General features: G+C 35.6%; 1 protein-coding gene across 4 annotated transcripts in view; it reads right to left on the reverse strand.

Moving 5' to 3' along the window:
• Positions 1-13,926, reverse strand: part of DTWD2 (DTW motif tRNA-uridine aminocarboxypropyltransferase 2) — a 152,474-nt gene that overhangs the window by 88,157 nt on the left and 50,391 nt on the right. For 2 of the 4 annotated variants that reach the window (XM_011543338.4, XM_011543340.3), the window contains exons 4-5: positions 4,307-4,499; positions 2,749-2,808 (exon numbers count right to left, since the gene is read on the reverse strand). In XM_011543338.4, the coding sequence (XP_011541640.3) occupies positions 2,749-2,808; positions 4,307-4,499 (253 nt within the window). The remainder of the gene's footprint in view (positions 1-2,748; positions 2,809-4,306; positions 4,500-13,926) is intronic. The other 2 variants (NM_173666.4, NM_001308081.2) reach the window with 1 other exon arrangement.

The raw sequence follows: 13,926 nt of genomic DNA on the forward strand, positions 1-13,926 counted from the left end.
GAGGATATTAATCTCCTGCTTCCTACAGATAATTTCCAGTACAGGAAAGAAGTCCATTCATAAGAGAAAATCAGACCAAAACAAAGAGAAGCATACCCCAAAAACAGAACTGCCTGAGAACCAGATCCAGCAAAGCCTGAAGCCTCTCCTACTCACTCTGAACCTCACCGGTACATGATCTATATATGTCCTCGTTTAAGTTAGTTTGAGTCGAAATTCTGTCAGTTACCCATGAAAGGGGCATGTTAACTTATTTGTATCCATCTACTAAGGCAGGCCCCTAGGAAAGCCTATTATGTAATTAAATGAATTTATCTTCATCCAGAAAAGCTGGGGAACAGGGTTACTAATTAACTAAATCTTGCAATATACTAAAAATGTGAACAGGCAATTTTTCAAGAATTTAAAAATATATTTTAAAATAAACTTTTAGTGTTACATAAAGTAGTTTAGAATTCATCATAAAATCACTACAATTGCCACTATCATTTTACAATCGAAGTTTTCCATTTAGAAACAGTATACCACTGTGGTTGAGACTACTGGCTTTAGCTCTAACAAGATGGGTTCAAATTGCGGCTATGCTATGAAATAGTTATGAGATCTAAAGCAAGTTATTTAATGTCTCTGTACTTTGGTTTCCTCATCTGTTATCTAAGATGCCAATACTTATTACCTCATGGGATTTGGGGAAAGATAATACATGTAAATACATGTAAAACATTTGTAATCGGGCCTGCTCCATCAAAGCACTCAATGCATTAGCTATTTTTTAGAATTGTGTTATGTATTTTAGTCTCATCTAAAAACAATGTCTGCATTTTGGTCAAAGGGAATAAAAACTATAAAGAATTTAAGTTTAAAACCTCAGAAGTCAGGGTTCCATTGTTATTCTTCACTAAGTGTATGGCTTGTATGCACCCAACAACAGAGCAGATAACACAAAAACTACTGGGAATGCAGGGATAACATCGTTAAAAATACATAAGCACTAAAGCTTTTCATAATCCTTTTACAGTATCAAACAGTCCAAGTATACCAAAAAATAAAAACATAAAGAAAAATACAATTAACAAACTTAAAAGCAATAGTATGAATGTTTACATCCCTAAATAGAGAATGTACATTTTTATAGTAATAGAACATGAACAAAAATCTACCAGGTACCTATTCACACAGAAATCATAAACTTATTCAAAATAGCGTGGCTAATGCTCTTTTATCACGATTCCAAAAATCAGAAATAAAAGTAAAATAATGATGAAAAGTGTTAAAACACTTAAGAATTAAGAACTCATTGATAGTATGGAGATTCCTTAAAGAACTAAAAGTAGGCCAGGCACGGTGGCTCATGCCTGTAATTCCAGCACTTTGGGAGGCCGAGGCGGGTGGATCACAAGGTCAGGAAATCGAGACCATCCTGGCTAACATGGTGAAACCCTGTCTCTACTAAAAATACAAAAAATTAGCCGGGCGCAGTGGCGGGTACCTGTAGTCCCAGCTACTCAGGAGGCTGAGGCAGGAGAATGGTGTGAACCCGGGAGGCGGAGCTGGCAGTGAGCCGAGATTGTGCCACTGCACTCCAGCCTGGGTGACAAAGCAAGACTCCATCTCAAAAAAAAAAAGAACTAAAAGTAGATCTACCGTTCAGTCAAGCAATCCCACTACTGGGTATTTACCCAAAGGAAAATAAGTCATTATATGAAAAAAACACATAAACAAAGTGTGATGCCTCATGCCTGTAACCCCAGCACTTTGGGAAGCCGAGGTAGGGAGAGGATCACTTGAGCCCTGGAGTTCAAGGCCAGCCTGGACAACACAGTGGGACCTCATTTCAATTTAAAAAGAAAAAAAAGACACATGCGCAGGCATGTTTATAGCAGCACGATTCACAACTGCAAAGACGTGGAACCAATCTAAGTGCCCATCAACCAATGAGTGGACAAAGAAAATGTAGTATATATATACCACGGAATACTACTCAGCCATAAAAATGAACAAACTAAGTTCATTTTGCAGCAACTTGGATGGAACTGGAGGCCATTATTCTAAGTGAAGTAACCCAGGAATGGAAAACCAAATTCCGTTATGTTCTCACTTATAAGTGGGAGCTAAGCTATGAGGATGCAAAGATGTACATAATAAATTTTGGGGACTCTGGGTGGAAGGAGGGAGGTGAGGAGTAAAACACTAAATATTCGGTACAGTGTACACTGCTCAGGTGACGGGTGCACTAAAATCTCAGAATTCACCACTACAGAATTCATCCATGTAACCAAAAACCACTTGTACCCCAAAAGCTATTGAAATTTTAAAAAAAAGAATTCATTGATAATCCATGGGTAGAAAGAAATCAAAACAACTTATATCAATGTTACTGATAAAAGAACACTTTAACCCAAAATAATGGGATACAGTGACAGTTATACTAGCGGAAATATTGCATCCATCTCGCCCCTTTTGTTCAAAAAAGAAAGTGATTTTTTTTTTTGGAGACAGGGTCTCTCTCTGGCACCCAGGCTGGAGTGCAGTGGCACAATCATAGCTCACTGTAACCTCAAACTCCTGGGCTCAAGTGATCCTCCCACCTCAGCCTCACAAGTAGCTGGAGTTATAGGTACAAGCCACCAAGCCTAGCAGAACTCAGAAATCTTAATAAAGAAATTTAGTACTTGTTTTAGTCAGCTTAGGCTGTTGTAACATTCATTTCTCACAGTTCTAGAAGCTGGGAAGTCTGAATCAGAGCACCTGCATGGTCACGGTCCTGGTGAGAGCTCTCTTCCTGGCTTGCAAATGGAAGTCTTCTTGCTGTGTCCTCACATGCAGAGAGAGACAGAGAAAGAGAGAGAGAGAGACAAAGAGAGACGGAGAGAGACAGAGAGCAAAAAGGAAGTATCTCTCATGTCTCTTCTTCTAAAGGTACTAATCCCATCATGAGGGCTCTGCCTTCATAATCTAATCACCTCCCAAAGGTCCCATCTCCAAATACCATTATATTGGAAGTTAGGGCTCCAATATATGCATGGGGTCGGGGGAGGGACAGGGAACACAATTCAGTCTACAGAAGTACTCTTAGTAAAAATCTTATAAAATCAGAAGAATAATAGAAGAAAATAAGCCCAAAAAGATGAAATATAAAATTGGTCGAGAAAAAAGTTCAACGTAATGAAATAAAAATAAACTATAATAGCCAATATAAACAACCTAAAAGCTTATATTTTAAAAGTTCTATAAAATAGAGAAACCCCTTTTGAATCTGTTTGTGTAAAAAACGTTTGTGTATGTGTGTGTGTCTATGTCTGTGTGTGTATGATTAAAAACAAGAAAAAAATGCATTCCTGAGTAATTAAAATAATTATTTAAGACTGTATATAAGTATATGGCAACCAATCTGCTAACTTAGAGAAAAGAGATAATTCCCTAGAGAAATATAAAAGTTATTAAAAACTGATCTAAATAGAAGTAGAAAGCTTGAATAATTTCCTTAGAAGAGTTTGAAAGAAGAATTTAAAAGCTACCATTTTTAAAGAGAACAGAACCAAGTGATTTCACCAATGAGTTCCATCTAATTTCTAAGGTGCAAGGAATTCTAGTATTATTTAAACTATTCCAGGTCATAGAAAAATATTAAAATCTCTCCAATTTACTTTGGAAGTTAACATTATTTTAATAACCAAACATGACAGTGGACCAAAAATACACATAATTCAATGCCACTAAATAAAATATAATTTTCAGCAATATATCAAAAATGTTTAATAGTTTACTCAGTTGAGTCCATTCCAGGAATATAAGAATGGACCAATATTAAGAAAGGTGTCTTCATAATTAATTACATCAAAAAACTGAAGAATAAACCATATAACTGTAATAATGAATGACAAAAAGTATTTAATAAAAACTTAGTCATTCCTAGTAAGAACTAGGTAATTCAGTAACCAAATAATAGTATTTAAATAAGATAATGCTTCTTAACAAAACACATTAATACATATAAAAATAATCCTTAGACTTCTCTGATTAAATGTCTAAGAGACTCTTAATATAGCCAAATGCCTCAACTACAGTAAAATTTGGCAGTAGGAGAGAAGAAATGACAAATTTGAAATTTTATATATATATTCAAAATACATATATATTCAAACTCATAAACATAAGCATACATATATCTAGGTACTATATATTCACACATAGAAATACCACCAAATTCATATATAAAAATCTATGTGTATCCCTTCACAGAAAACATACACAATATACCTAATTATATATTTATATTTATTCTCTGTTAAAATTACTAGTTTACCTGTTTGGGATGTCGGAACAAGGAGTTCTTATAGAAAATGTCCTTAGCCTGGCTCCATGTACCATCAATGATGATGATTGTAGAAGGATAAACAGGAGAATCTAATATAAATTCTTCCAAATTAGCAGCTTCAGCCCCTGGATATAATATTAATGTACCAGACTTCCGGCAAACAGTTGAAAGTTCAGGATCTCTGAAAAAGTTTTTTAAAAATATATCTTTATTAGCTTGTGAGGAAAAAAGGTTTTATTATGCTTACTGAATTTCCTAATAAAAGTTTCCCTATATGTAGTCATTTGTCTAATCAAATATAAGTATTAGTTTATAAAGTATGAATTAAAAAGACTCAAAATTTTGTGTACTCTCTACTGATGTATTCACCACAATTCTGCCACTCTCCTCTAGGCTTTCCAATCCTCACTATTCTTCTCTATCAAAGCTTTTCTATCCAACTGCCAGTGACATAACTTTAGCCCTTCCAAAGAATTCTTCCTTTCCTCACTAATACTTCATGTGTAATCTGATCCACTTTATCAAAGTAAACAACTGGCACTGCCTAACAATCCTAGCACAAACAATCCTAACAATCCCAAGGCAAAATCGAGTAGCAATGGAAGAACCATAAAGAGAAGTTCGGTTGCATAGGCAAGCCACATTCTCAAATTCACCTTTGTTAAAGCCAACTAAATATGGCCTGAGAAGGACTCCATACTTCTATATTTGAGTCCTTATGGATGAACCCTAACCTATCTTAATAGGCAGACAAGATTGAAAACCTAATTTAGGAGTATGCACCTGTAACAATGGCTGAGTCTTGGCCAATCCCAGTGGCCATACTTCAACCATTCACAGAGTGCTAAGTGTTCAAACTGTGTTCAAATAAGGCACACCCCAACCTGTAACCAATCCAGCTGTTTCTGTACCTCATTGCTGATTTCTGTACGTCACTTCCCTTTTTTTTTTTTTGTCCACAAATTTGTTCTGACCACGAGGCATCCCTGGGGTCTCTCTGAATCTGCTGTGATTCTGGGGACTGCCCGATTCACAAATTGTTCATTGCTCAATTAAATTCCTTTAAATTTAATTTGGCTGAAGTTTTTCTTATAACATCGTATATTATCTATTGAAGGAAACCAAAATATTTCACTTCAAAATATACTTATTTGACATATGTTGACACAGCTGTTTAGAGGGCTTGCAAACAGCAGTAGCCTTGAAAAGCTGTTGCATCTGTAGAGAAAAACACATGGCAGCCAGGCTTTCTCTGAGGACCTTCCCTTGTCCAGATCTAGGAAATAATAACTGAAAGTCTGACAACCTTAATGGTCTGAAAGAAATATTTACCCTCTATTCTCTATGAAGGCTGCTATCGGTGCGGTTTCATCTGCATAACAAGACCACTTTTGCCAGCCAGGCCTCCTCTTCTCCCCGTCCCAAATGTTTTTGCCATAATAACCAGCTTTGCCATGCTCTAAGCCCCTATTCTTTCTGTAAACCTCAAGATGACATAAAAGCATCAACCATCTGGCCATTTCTCTGAGTTCTTATATTTCATAAGACTCCCTTACACGTCAATAAATTTGTATGCCTTTTCTCCCTTTAATTTGTCTTTTGTCAGATGATTTTCAGCAGACCTTCAGAGGGTGAAGAGGAACGTTCCCCTTGGCCCCTACACCATCATCCAGTTCCGTTATAGAGTTAGTTGATTCAACATTCATTCAAAAATGTGTCAAAGCTTTTTGGTACTGGAGACAAAACAATGAATGAGACACCCTTTGCCCACAAGCAAAAAACAAAACAAAATGCTATTAAGGGGAAAGGAGACAAATTATCATTTTTCTTTGAAATATAATTTGGACTTCCAAATTCAGCTCAGAAATAAAGAGTTTGAAAGTCATCAAGCCCATCTTCACAAAAAAAAATGCTAACAAACTGAAAATTAACAACTTTTCTTAGATTCGTCAGAGAATTGAGGCTCCAGGGCAAACACTCCAAAAACCAGAGGAAAAAAAAAGAAAAGTAACCATCTTGAAATAGCCCGCAGCATTCTCCATAACAAAGGCCTTTCCCTCAAGAGAAACTACTTACCACAGCTTTTTTCTACCTATTATTTAACCACAAAAAGAAATTAAGTACTAATATATGTTACAACATACATGTTACAACCTTGAAAACATTATGCTAAGTGAAAGAAGCCAGTCACAAAAGTCCAAATATATTATTTCATTTATATGGAATATCAGATATCAAATATGGATAACAAATAGGAAAATCAATAGAAACACAGAGTAGACTAGTGTTTGCTTAGGACTGGGAAGGCGCAGGGAGTTGGAGAGGACGGAGGGCATAGGGATAGGTAGGTGACAGTTAAAGGTAGAGGGTTTCTTTTTGAAGTGATGACATATTTTAAATTGACTGGTGATGGTTGCAAATATCTTTGGATATACTAGAAACCAATTAATTTGTACATTTTAAATTGGTAAGTTAAATGGTATGTGAATTACATCTCAATAAAGCCCTTTTGAAAAAAAAAAGGGATGAAGATATATGATAATACTAATCAAAAGATAATTCCAGGCCAGGCAGTGGCTCACCCCTGTAATCCCAGCACTTTGGGAGTCCAAGGCAGGAGCACTGCTTAAGCCCAAGAGTTCAACATCAGCCTAGGCAACACAGTGAGACTCCCATCTCTCCAAAAATGTTTAAAAATCAGCCAAGCATGGTGGCGTGCACCTATGGTCCCAGCTACTCGGGAAGCGGAGGCAGGAGAATCGCTTGAGCCTGGGAGGTCAAGGCTACAGTGAGTGAACCATGATTGTGCCACTACACTCAAGCTTGAGCAACAGAACGAGACCTTGTCTTAAAAAAAAAAAAAAAAAAAAAGTAACTGCAGTCTGCAATAGCTATATAAACTACAGACAAAGCAGACATCAGAAGGAAACTTATGAGGATGAAGAAAGGCATTACATAATAACAAGAGTCAATTCTCCAAAAAGACATAACAATCTTTTAACATGTATGTACTTAAAAATTCACTGTTCACAACATGTAAGGCAAAAACCAATAGAACTGAAAAAAGAAACAGACAAATCCAGTAATACAGTTGGAGACTTCAGTACAACCTTGTCAGTAACTGGTAGATCAAGCAGACAAAAAAATCAGTAAGGATATTGTTGGCCTGAACAGCATTATCAATCAACTTGATCTAATTGATATTTATAGAATAGTCCACCAACAACAAAATACACATTCTTCTCAAGTTCACATGAAACACTCACCAAAACAGACCACATTCTGGGCCATAAAACATACCCTGACAAATTTAAAATAGAAATCATACAAAGTATGCTCTCAGACTACAATGGAATTAAATTAGAGCCAGAAAACTTGCTGGAAAACTCCGCAGTATTGGAGATTAAACAACATACTTCTAAGTAAACCACGGGTCAAGAGATAAGTCCCAAGGGAAATTTTTAAATATTTTGAACTAAACGAAAATGAAAATACAACTTATCAAAATGTGTGGGAAGCAGCAAAAGCACTGCTTAGAGAGATATTCATAGCATTAAAATGCACATTAAGAAAAAGGAAAGACCTGAAAATCAACAGTCTGAGCTTCCTCCTTAAAAACACAACAACAACAAAAACAACAACAACAACAAAAGCTAGATAGGGCCATGCATTGTGGCTCATGCCTCTAATCCCAGAGGCAGGAGGGTCACTTGAGGCCAGGAGCTCAAGACCAGCCTGAGCAATGTAGCAAGACTCTGTCTTGACAAAAAAATTTAAAAAAAAAAAAAAAAAGCTAGAGAAAGACGAGCAATTTAAGCCTGAAGCAAGCACTATAAAAAGAAAAGAAAGAGTAAAACCTAAGATGGAAATCAGTGAAGTTCAAAATAGGAAGACAACAGAAAAAATCAATGAAATCAAAAGCTGACTGTTATAGAAGGAATTGTGTCCTCCCCAAAATTCATATGTTGAAGTCCTAACCCCTAGTAGCTCAGAATATGATGGTATTTAGAGATAGAAAAATCACCTTTAAAGAAGTGATTAAGTTAAAATGAAGCCATTAGGGTGGTCCCTATTCTAATCTAACTGGTATGATTATAAGAAGAGGAAATTTGGACACAAAAGAAGAGATGGCAGGGGCACACCTGTTCAGAGGGACAACCATATGAACAGGCAATGAGAGGGCAACCAACTGTAAGCCAAGGAGAGGCCTCAGGAGAAACCAAATCTACTGGCCTCTTGATCTTGGAGTTCTAAACTCAAGAACTGTGGAAAATAAACTTCTCTTTGGCCACCCAGTATGTGGTATTTTATTATGGCAGTCCTAGCAAACTAATACACTGGTTCTTTGAAAAGATCAATTAAATTGATAAAACTACACCTGAGGTAATCAAAAAAAAAAGAGCAAAGACACAATTACTGATATCAGAAATAAAAAGGGTGATCATTACTGATTCCAAAGTCATTAAGAAAATAATAAATACTACAAAAAACTCAATGCCCACAAATTTCATAGTTAGGAGGAAATTAACTAATTCCTTGAAAAACAAACTATCAAAACTCACACAAGGAGAAATACGAAAACTGAAAAGCTCTATGTCTATTAAAGAAATTGAATCGATAATTAATAATCTTCTAAAAAAGAAATCACCAGGCCCAGGTGGTTTCAGCAGTGAATTCTCTCAAACATTTCAGGAAGAAATGGTATCAATTCTCCACAATCTCTTCCAGATCCTAAAAACAGACAGAACATTGCCTAATTCATTCTATAAGGCCAGCATTACCCTCATATCAAAACCAAATAAAGGCATTACAAGAAAGGAAAACTATAGATCAATATCCCTTATGAATATAAAGGCAAAAATTCTCAACAAAATATCAGCAAATTAAATCCAAAAAGTTATCTATCATCACAAACCAGATTTATTACAGGGATGGAAGGTTGGTTTAACATTCAAAATCAATAAATGTAATCACCCACATCAATGGACTAAAGAAGAAACATCAAAGGACTGTATCAATTCACAAAGAAAACGCATTTGACAAAACCCAAAGCCCACTCATGATAAAAACTCTCCACAAACTAGGAATAGGGGAGAATGTCCTCAGTTTAGTAAAGAACATTTCCAAAATACCTATAGCTAGCATTATACGTAATTGTTCTCTAAGACTGAGAACAAAACAAGGATGTCCTCTCACCACTGCTATTCAATCCCTAGCTATTGAAATAAGAAAAGGGAACCAAAGATATACAAACTAGAAAGATGAAACAAAACCATATATACTCCTCAGAAGACCTAATCATCTATGTAGAAAAGTCCAGGGAACTGACCTAAATAAATAAATAAATAAATAAATAAATAAATAAATAAATAAAAATAACCTCCAAGAACAAGTAAATAAGTACAGCAAGGTCACAAGATATAAGGTTAATATACAAAAGTCAATTGCTTTCCCACATACTAGCAACAAAAAATTCACATTTGTAATTGTTTTAAATACCATTAAAATAGCCCTGCAAAAATGAAATTCTTAGGTGTGAATCTATTAAAATACGTAAAGTACCTGTATGTGAAACACTAAAAAACACTGATAAAAAGCAAAAAGGACTGGGCACAGTGGCTCACATCTGTAATCCCAGCACTTTGGGAGGCCAAAGCAGGTGGATCCCTTTAGCCTAGGAGTTTAAGACTGGCCTGGGCAACATAGTGAGACCTTGTCTCCATTAAAAAAAAAAAAAAAAAAAAAAAAAAAAAGCAAAGAATATCTAAATAACTGCTTTAGATTTACAGAATTATTGCAAAAATAGTACAGAGAATTCCTATATACACCACACCCAGTTTCCCTTATTATCTAAAAGTAAAATACATGAAAACAATAACACAAAAAATAGAAGGAGATTGCATGGAATTATATTTTTATAAGGTTCTTATGTTATATATTTAATGTATAATGTTATTAATTCAAGGTAAACAGTGATAAAGTAAGAATACATAGTATAATCCAAAGACTAACCACAAAAGGCATACCTAAAAAGCCAGCAAAGAAATAGAATGGAACGCTAAGAAAAACTTAGTAACCCAGAAGAAAGACATAAAAGAGGAACAAAAGATCAAATAACTGATAGGACTAATAGAAGACAAATATCACTATGGTATTCACTGGTAATGTAAAAGAAAACAAGTCAATAACTACATCCAGGAAAATGAAATAAACTCCCCAATTAAACAACAGAGATTGTTAGATTAAATTTAAAAACCAAGACCCATACCATATAAACACTAGCACCCACACATAGTAGACTTTAAGACAAAGAGTATTACCAGAGATAAAGAAAGACATTTGTGATATTGTGAAATATATATTTGGTCTTCTTTCCGTTTCCTGGAATACAACTCCTAAAATCCTTAGAATCTTCAAAGTGTTGTTTTTTTGTATGCTAATATTGACTGACAGCTCCAGGGTGGGATTAGTCACTGGAAAGACTAAGGGGAAGGAGAGAGGCTAAAGGTCAAGTTGATCACCAGTGGCCAATGGCTTAATCAATCATGCCTGAATGATGAAGCCTAAATAAAAACCCAAGCAGACAGGGTTCAGAGAGCTGAACATGTGGCCATTCCTGGAGGGTAGTGCACCAGGGAAGGCATGGAAGCTCTGCAGCCCTTTCTCTGTACCTTGCATTACGTATCTCACCTGTACCCTTTGTAATATCCTTTATCATAAACTGGTAAACATTAAGTGTTTCTAACTAACTGAACCCAAACCAAGAGTTGTGGAAGCCCCAACTTGAAGCTGATCAGTCAGAAGTTCCTGAGGCCCGGACTTGCCAATGGTGTCTGAAGCGGGGAAGGGGCAGTCTTGGGAACTGAGCCCTCATCCTGTGGGATGTGACACTATCCCCACGTAGGCAGGGTCAGAATTGAACTGGAAGACACCCAACTAGTATTATTGCAAAATTGACTGCTTGCTTGCTTGCTTGCTTGCTCGCTCGCTTGCTTGTGGGGAGAAATCCTCACATATTTGGGGGTCTCGGAAGTTTTCTGTGTTGAAGTTTGTGGTGTTGACACCACAGCAGAGGAAAAATGGTTGAGAGTTTTTCCAACAACACATAATAATGATAAAAGGACTAGTGCATCAAGTTAACATAATAATACGAAATACATATTCACCTACTTGAAGAGTTTTCAAATAGATAAAACAGGAACCAAAAGAACAAAATGTAAAAATAAACAAATCCCTAATCATAGCTGGAGATTTTAACACAATTTCCTTGATATTTGAGAGAAAACATGCTCATAAAATCAGTCAAAATACAGAAGATTTGAATAACACTATCAACCATCTTGACCTAATTGATAGTTTGTGTAACACTACATCTGACAACTGAGGAATATAGTCTTTTCTTGTGCATATAGAATATTTACCAAAAGACAGATCACATGCCAGAACACAAAACAAGTATCAATAAAATTTTTAAACCTAAAATCACAGAGTATAAACAAATAAGAGTAGAAATCAAAATAAACATAATCATGATACATCTAAAACTTCCCCAAATATCTGGAAATTAAGCGACACACTCCTGAACAATCCATGTGTGAAAGAAGAAATCACAAAAGTAATTTTAAAATATTTTGAACTGAACAAACCAAAATCACAATATAACAGAATTGGTGGGATATATAAAGCAATGGTTAAGAAGAGAAACTTGGCCAGGAATCGTGGCTCTCACTTGTAATCCCAGCACTTTGGGAGGCCAAAGGGGGTAAGATACTTTGAGGCCAGGAGTTCAAGACCAGCCTGGGCAACATAGCGAGACCCTGTCTCTACAAAAGAAAACTTTTAATTGAGCCCAAGAGTTCAAGGCTACAGTGAGCTATGTGTGTGCCACTGTACTTCAAGCCTGGAAAACAAGACCCTGTCTAAAAAAAAAAAGGAAAAATTTATAGATTTACAGCTGAAATGTTTATATGCACGGGCCAGGCACAGTAGCTCACATCTGTAATCCTAGCACTTTGGAAGGCCAAGATGAGAGGATCACTTGAGGCCAGGAGTTTGAGACGAGGCCAGTCAACATAGCAAGACCCCATCTCAATTTATTTTTTTTTTAAATTTATGCTTATATGAATGAACAAAAAGTTTTAAAATCTGTTATCTAATCTTCTACTAAAAAAAGAAAAAAGAGAAATTAAATCCAAAGCAAGAAAAAAATTGACAATAAAGAGTAGAAATCAATTAGAAAACCAAACAAAGAAAAACACAAAGCCAAATCTTGATTCTTTAAAGAGATCGACCAAAACAGACTAAGAAAAAAGAAAAGACACAAATTACCTAAATCAGGAATTAAAAGAGGTTACCACTACAGATTCTACAGACATGAAAATAACAATAAATAAATGCTACAAGCAACTTTATGACAATAAATTCAACAATTTAGATAACTTGTACCATTTCTTTGAAAGGTACAAAATATAAAAACTGACACAAAAATAAATGGAAAATATGAAATGCCTTATGTTTAATAAATGAATTATATTTGTAAGAAAAAAACCTTCCCACAAATTATAATATGACCAGGTGGGCTTTATCTTAGAAATAGAAGGGTTTTAACATGCAGAAATCAATCAATATAATACACTATATTAACAGAATTAAGGAGAGAATCTACATGATCATTTTAATAGATGCATTTCACAAAACTCAACAAACACCCATTCATAATTAAAACTCTCATCATTTTAGAAACTGATAAATGACATTGTATAACATGGTTATTACAGTTAATGTATTGTATACTTGAAAACAGCCATGAAGGCAGCTCTTATATGTTATCACTGCAAAAAAAAAAAAAAAACCATAAAACTATTGTTATAAATCTGTTTAATACAGTTGTTGCCTTGGCATCCATTTTAGGCCTGACGTAAGTTATCTGTAATCCAGCCAACCCTATCACCTTTGGCCTAGTTAAAACTTTCCCTCCCTGTGTGGTGTTTGCCATATAGCCTACTTGTTCCTCACTAATCCAAAACCCAACACATCACATAGCTGCTGACCACAATAAAACCTAAAGGTCAATACCAGAGTCATATGAATAAGCTCCCCCTTCACATTGTTCTCTTTAAACTAGCCAGTCTACAACCCACAGGGAAATCCCAAGGGATAATCCCCACAGACCTTAATAAAGGCATAATCCCACAGGTCTCCCCTTCCCACCCACCCAGCGGTTGAATCCCCTGTTGTTTCCAGACTTCCCTTTGGCCTCACACTGGCATCCTAACCTCTCTGGTATCTGTGTGTAATAAACTTCTTTCCTTTCATGCATTTTGGCTTCACTTCCTCATTATGTCTCTCCTGACACAGCCATACTATAGTATTCTCAATATTACTGAACGTTTTGAACAAATCTTAACTATGTGAGGTGATAAATTTAATTAGCTTGATTGTGCTAATCATTTCACAATGTATACATACATCAAAACATCACACTGTACATGATAAATATAACTTTTATCTATCAATTATACCTCAATAATGCTTGGTGGGGAGAAACATACAGCCGATATCATAGTTAATAACGTCCACAGAGTTTGGGACCAAGGTAAAGATGTTGG

This window comes from Homo sapiens, chromosome 5 (genome assembly GCF_000001405.40).
Source record: "Homo sapiens chromosome 5, GRCh38.p14 Primary Assembly".
NCBI lineage: Eukaryota > Metazoa > Chordata > Mammalia > Primates > Hominidae > Homo > Homo sapiens.